We start from the raw sequence: 7,386 nt of genomic DNA on the forward strand, positions 1-7,386 counted from the left end.
AAGATACTACGTAAACTGTGTAATAATTCCTGAAACATAATATACACTCTCAGCAATTTATGAACTTTATATTTGGGAGATTTAAGTAATCTATGCAAAATGCTAAATTGTGTCCTTTCTCATGATGTTAATGAATTAGCATATTTGCCTTTTTTTTGAGTAAATTTTGAATGTATCATCACAAAAAAATTAGTGAGGTGATAGATATGTATTGATTGATTTACTCACTCCACTTATATATGGATAAACATCTAAACATCACATTGTACACCATAAACATATATAAGTATTCTTTGTCAATTAAAACAATATTAACATAAAAGATTTGCCTTTTAATTGTTTCTCCAAAACTTTTTCTAATTTTTTATTTTATTTTTCTTGGAGACAGAGTCTCACTTTGTCACCCAGGCTGGAGTACAGTGGCCTGATGAATCCCAGGTTCAAGTGATTTTCATGCCTCAGCTATCGGAGTAGCTGGGATTGCAGGCGTGCACCACTACCTCCCTCACCCCTCGGCTAACTTTTGTATTTTTAGTAGAGACTGGATTTCACCATGTTGGCCAGGCTTGTCTCAAACTCCTGAGCTCAAGTGATCCACCTGCCTCGGCTTCCCAAAGTGCTTGGATTACAGGCATGAGCCATGGTGCCCAGCCATTTTTTCTAATTTCAAATATTAAAACATACATATTATAGATATATATATAAGCACACACACATATATATATGCCAACTTCCCAGATAATTCTACTCATCCTTTATACTTTCTGCAAATATCGAATCTCTAATATTACCTCGTTTGTGCATTTTTACGGTGGTTTTTGCAATACTGCATGCTAACTAACAATGATTGACAAGCAAGCTACGTATCTGAAGTAGGTATTTTGCCATTTCCAGAATGTGAGGGTTCCCTTCTTTTCCAATATCACATTTACCAGTTTGTTAACCACTCAGGTGTTTATGCAGAGCACTATGCAGTTTTTCTTTTGGCTGGGTGTATCTCACTATCTCACTTGCCTCCGTGACTCATTCCACAGCACTGTAGTCCTGTTAATTCTTAAATTCTGTTCTATGTTTGTGGAGTCACACTGAATTTGCCAGAGGAATTTTGTTAAGGATGTTTCTATGGAGAGAAGAGTACCTCAGTTTCCTTCCCAGATGTGTACGGTATCTTTCAAAGGCCCTGACCGGGACTAGGATGCTAAGACGCTGACCAGGGAGCCGCTCTAGGCTGCCCTCTGGTGGGCAGACTGGAGCTAAGGACACTGAAAGAAGTCCAATCAGACTGAAATTGTATCACTTCAGCAAGCAGAGAAGAAAATTCAGGCATTCATGAGCTTACCATAGCCAGAGCCTGGTCTATAGATTTCGCTCAGCAAAGGTCCCAGGAAGCAGGCCTGAAAGCCACTGGAGGAGGGGGGCCGCACCTGAAATCTCATTTGCAGCTGTTACGGACCCTGTCATTCCCTTACCTGTCAATGGGCAGGTAAGAATAGGGAGTTTATTTGAATGAATTTCCAAGGCACTAGTAAGACAAAGAGATGATAAAAGTTTCCTTTAGAATACCTATAGTGATGACCAAAAAAATGCCTCACATCACCGTGAGCTGTAGAGGGGACAGAAAAAGATGTTACTACCGGAACATGAAACCCAGCATCAAAATTCAAGTGAAAATTTACTGCAGGAGAAATAGAGTGCTTACAAGTAAACAGAAGTCGTCATCAGTTGCCAGTTCAAATTCCAAAAAAACACCTACTGTCAAATATCTAGTATCCATGAAGTTAATGAAAACAGTGTGATTCATATGGCATGGACTTTTGGTACCAAATATTTGAAGTCTTTATTTTGGAACTGAGTGGAGAGTAAATTCCATCTGAGTGTACTTTACAGCAACACCACCAAGAGAATTCTGCATTCTTATCTAAACTTTGAGACATCAGAAAGTAGTAGATAAATTATATTTGAAAATAACTAACTGCTAACTGAATTTTTAACTTGCATTTTTACAACATGAATGTAAAAATGCAAGTTTAAAAATTATGTACCTGATACATATCTAGATGTAGATGAAAAAAATCTGGCCTAGTTTAATTGTTATTATAGCCACTATTTCTATGATCAACTGTTAACTACAAACTTTCACCTAATTTTCTTTTAAGAACATATATTATTTTTCATAGTTTATTTCCTAACATTCACATCAAAGAAGAGAAAACAATTATACATAGCATCAGGGAGTGATCAGATATAATTTGTTCAACAATGGGACCTGGCTACCTGCCTGTAGAAGAGCAGATGGAATTCTACAAATGACTTTCACTGTAGGGTCCCTTGACACACATTATGAGCCAAATAAATAGTGTGACACCCAATCCAATGAGTATCCCTGAACACTACTGATGTACACTTTTATGAGGATACAAATTGCACACTGATGAGCAATACCTGGTATGTGGAAACCTCGTTTAGACCACTGGCCACTTAGACACCTGTGTCCTGAAAGCACAAATTACCTTGTAACTGCTATTGGAAAAGCTACTGCCTACATTTTAAGTAGAATTGATTCACAAAAGTACAAAACAGTCTCATTTCAAGTTATCTATCTGTGTACAATTTAAGAAGTTTAAATCCTAAGTGTTTTAGGACAAAATCCTCATTTTTTTATTTTAGCAATTTTAAATGCACAGACCATGTACTTTGCTAACTGTAAATCTAGGTAGGCATTGAGACGACTATTCAGGGTATAGTTAGCACACAGTAGTTGATGACAAAACTAGATCTTCCTGTAGCTAGGACCTGATAAAAGTTTCAGGCTCTTGATTTTTGGAATTACCAGGAGAGGTTTACTAATAAAGAATTGTAGCTCTGGGTAATTGTTAGAGCCTGGGATTGATGGTCATCAGGAAAGAGCGTAAAGCTTGATAACAGTTGGTTAATTTGATTTGAAGAAGTTGTTGAAACAGCATGCAAATGTTCTTAATAAACCCAAGTATAGAGCTAGAAATAACATTATATTGCTGTTTTTTTCTCCTAATTTATTTCTCACATACTAATGACAGATCATAACTAAAATATGATTTAGTGCAGTAGAAGAACGTATAGTCAGGCTTTGTAGAGAAAATATTCACAGTTATATTACTAGATATGCAGACAGGTAAAAATTCATGGAAAGATAGTTACTTCTCTGTTTCTCAATCTTAGACCCTAATACTTTCTCCCATCATTCATAACAGATTATTTATTTTTAATTCACAGAGAATACAAAACCCACGAGACCAGAACTTTCAAAATTTGCTACTGACACAAATCTAAAATATTTAAAAAATATTTTAATTGTGGTAAAATGCACATAAACACATTTGCCATCTTTCCCATTTTTAAGTGTATATTTTAGTAATGTTAGTATTTTTACATTATTGATAAAGCCTCACCACCATCCAACTCCAGAATCCTTTGCATTTCAGAAAACTGAAACTCAGTACCCATTGAACAGTAATTCCAGCAATATGTCCATAACTCATGATTTGCCTTTCCTTATATTTCAATAGAAGAAAAGTTTTTGCTCCTGTCCCAGCCAATAACTTCACCAATTCTCTGTACCTCATTTCTTCTCACCTAAACAAAGGCACGTTTTCTATAACTTTTCCATTTTTTTCTGCCCTACCTTCTCATTTTTAATTTTTTTTAATTATTTTGCATTGTCAAATTCTGTCTAACTCCATGCATAATGCTACTAATTAGCTACCTTGGTCATCTAAAAATTTCTTCCATAGTCACCTTATGTATCACTCAACATTCTTCTTTCCCCTGTGACACATTTCCTAAATAGAATTCTTTTCACTTCAAATCTATTTTTTTCTCAACTCCAATTAGCTTCATACTTCACTCCTATCAAACTTACCCCTCCTCATTCTATATAAACAATTTTCTTTAAGGTCAACAACATCTACCTTTTGCTAAATTCAATGGTTAGTTCTCTTTCTTCTTCCTTCACTGCTCTGTGTCAGATGCTACAGTAAACCACACATTTTGCTCTATGAAATATTTTTCTCTTTATGCATCTGCAATACCATACTCTTCTTGGTGCTTTATTAGATGCTTCTTCTTAATCTCATTGCTGGCTGTTTATTCCTTTCACAAACTCTTATTGTCAAAGTTCCCCAACTCTAACTCTTTTCATCAGTGATATTTTTATGCCTCAGATTATGTGCCTGCCACTGAATCCCAAACCTTTATGTTCAGTTCTAACCTCTTCTCTGGGCTCCAGTTTTATATTCAACTGTGCACTCACCAACTCCACCTTGATCCCAAAACGTAACAAATTCAAAGCAGACTTGATGATTCATCCGCCACTGTTCAATTACTGTCCCTTAGTTTCCTTTATTTCCATTTATGGCACCATTAGCTACCCAGTGGCTTAGGCCATTAATTCAGAACTCATCTTGGAAACTTTCTTCCCCCTCACATCCCATATCCAATCCATCAGCAAATCCTCTGGTATCACCTCCAAAATGTGTTTTGGAACCTAGAGGTTTCCACCATTACCACTGATAAAACCCTTGTCCAATTATCTGTAGATGGTGGTGATGATTGTACAACATTGTGAATTTAATTGATGTCACTGCAATGTGTACTTAAAAATATTTAAAATGCAAAGTTTATGTTATACATCTCTTTCACCCGGACGATGGCATGATCTTCCCAACTTGCCTCCCTGGTTTGTTCTTGTCTTTCTATGATGCATTCTCTCTGTAGCAGCGAATTTAAACACTTTAAAATGTAAGTTAGATATGTCAGTCCCTGTTTCAGATATCTCAATAGTTTCTCATTGCTTTGAAAATAAAATGGAAATTTCTTACCTGTTCTACAATGCCCTACATGTTCCTATCTTGGCCTAAATGTCCTACCTCATCTTTTACAACTCACATTCCACTCACTCTGTTCTACTTGTACTGGCCCATTTGCCGCGTCGTGAATACACCAGGCTGGTTCCATGCTTGAGGCTTTAGCAGTCGCGGCTTCTGCTCTAAATATATTTATCTATCTCATAGAGTGTTTTCTTTTCAAAATCCCCTTTTAAAGATATTGAATTTTAACCTTTCTTTTTATTTTCAATACAACTTAGAACAACTTCTAAAATATTTATTTTAGTCATGTCTCTCTTGTCAATTATTTCTCTGACTCAAATATAATCTAGGAAACTATAAAAATATTTTCTTTTGAAGATGGTCCCAATGGAAATTCAATGTATTAGATGATATGGGTTCGTTAAACCTTCTTTATATTATCAGATCCAAATGCCAGTGCCTGATAGCTGTGTCTTCATATATCACTGACAGAACTAAGTGCTTTGTCACAAACTTACATATTTTTTTCCAAGCAGTACTTTGTGATTTCTAAAATACACAAGAGCTATTTTTATTTTTATGACAGATATTAGCTAAGTATTCATATTCCTTTTGATGTTCCATCATAAAAATTATAAAACATATAATTTAACTTAGTGGAATATCTTTATATCTTATATATAAAAGATACATCTTTATAAGATATATATAAAAAGATATATCTTTACATCTTTTAGAAAACACAAAACAAAATCTGAGACAGTTTTTCTACCAGTAAAACCTAAATAATGTTTTTTCAGTCCTACCAAAAATTGTAAATTGTTTCCTTTGTTAAAGTTTATTCCTCATGCAATAAAGAGAATATTAAAAAGTAATATATTTTAACAATTATAAACTAGTTTAAACACAAAATAAATGGAAGATGGGAATTATATATAAGTTTATATATATATATATTTGTTTATATTACATATATAAATATAATTTGTTTGTTTGTTTGCCAGGCTGGTCTCGAACTCCTGGTCTCAAGTGATCCGCCCACCTCAGCCCCACAAAGTGCTGGGATTACAGGTGTGAGCCACTGTGCCCAGCAGTGGAAGATGAGGTGTAAAATATCAAAATCCCAATGCACAATATAGTAGAAAATATATTAGTTACAAACTGAAAAAAATGGTTTTCAGAAACAATAAATTCTACTTATTTTTGGAACATTTATTTAGATTTAGTCATATTAAATGTAAACACTTTTTCTCATAGATAATTATTTCTTTAAATACTATTTCCTTAGCTAAGAAGAATAAAAATAAACTGAAAGTAACATATTAACCACTCTATAATCTATTTTCAAGGGAGTAATAAAGACTTTGTAATCATTAAAAATAGAGAGAAATATTGAACTCTACTGCATCTTATTAAGAAAAACACCTTTCATATATTAAGTAGGTCTAATCCTTTGACTCTTTGGTTGGTCATAATGTTTATATAAATTCTAGGAAATGATTTCTGCATATTTATTCGCAGAATGAAAAGTTTAATTTCTTCATACCACCCTCCCCAGAAAAATTTAGAAAGGACAATGCAGTAACATAAGCCTGAATTTTAACAGGTCTTTTTGGTAGTAAGTAGTGCACACAATTTTCATGTATAGCTGCTCCAGTTTGCTTTTCCAGATTTCTAAGAGAATTTAGAGCTTCTTTGAAACCTGCAGTATGTTACTGCTGTGTAATATCTTGATTGATTTTCTGCTTAAATTGGGCATACGTGCAGTATGTTGACAATCAGAAAAAGCAAGGTGGGTGAATGTGATTCTCAGCACCTCCACACAAAACCCTGTGGAGTTCAGATGATACACCAAATTCAGGATCCTACTGGGCACACTTGGATTCATAGATTTAATTCTCCAGCACTGACAAAAAAAAAAAAAAAGATTTTTTTCTCCATTTAGTGGTTGCTCTTATTGGCCCATGAAGAAAGACCTACATTGATTTATACATTGTGTACGTGTTAGGCACTAAATGTGTGGGGGCAATCAACACTTCAAGGACTTACTTTTGTAAATTATATAAATTAGTCTTTCATTATTGAGGGCTTAAAAGACAATAGGGACGGCAGGGCACAGTGGCCCATCCCTATAGTACTGGGAAGTGAGATGAGAGGATCCCTTGAGCCCAGAAGTTGGAGTCTAGCCTGGGCAATGTAGTGAGACCCTGTCTCTAAACCAAAAAAAATAAAAAAGAAGAAGAGAGAGAGAGAGGGAGAAATAGATAAAGGGACAACAGGGAGCTTTTTACCTTCTAAGAATTCTTGCCATTCTTGCCACATGTCTAAATATAGTCTGTTTGAACTGATGAATGCTTTTCCGAAAAATAATGCATGCCAATTTGTTTGAAAGGTAATGTCTATTCTCATGATTGTATTGATCTTTGACATGGCTTCAACTGGTAAAATATGAATAAACCAGTAACTTGCTTTCCAAGTAGAGTTTGCTCTTTACAGAATGGAATTATCCTTTCCCCAATACTGATGAAACTTATTTAAATGA

At 34.7% G+C, this 7,386-nt stretch overlaps 1 annotated feature.

Moving 5' to 3' along the window:
• Positions 4,212-4,381: an enhancer, noted in NCBI's record as "experimental_76088 CRE fragment used in MPRA reporter constructs". NCBI's record gives its function as "activates a minimal promoter by MPRAs in K562 erythroleukemia cells, with activity observed for both the introgressed and non-introgressed 4:168547119 variant alleles {active_cell/tissue: K562}" and the evidence as "EXISTENCE:reporter gene assay evidence [ECO:0000049][PMID:34662402]".

Source organism: Homo sapiens, chromosome 4 (genome assembly GCF_000001405.40).
Source record: "Homo sapiens chromosome 4, GRCh38.p14 Primary Assembly".
Lineage (NCBI taxonomy): Eukaryota > Metazoa > Chordata > Mammalia > Primates > Hominidae > Homo > Homo sapiens.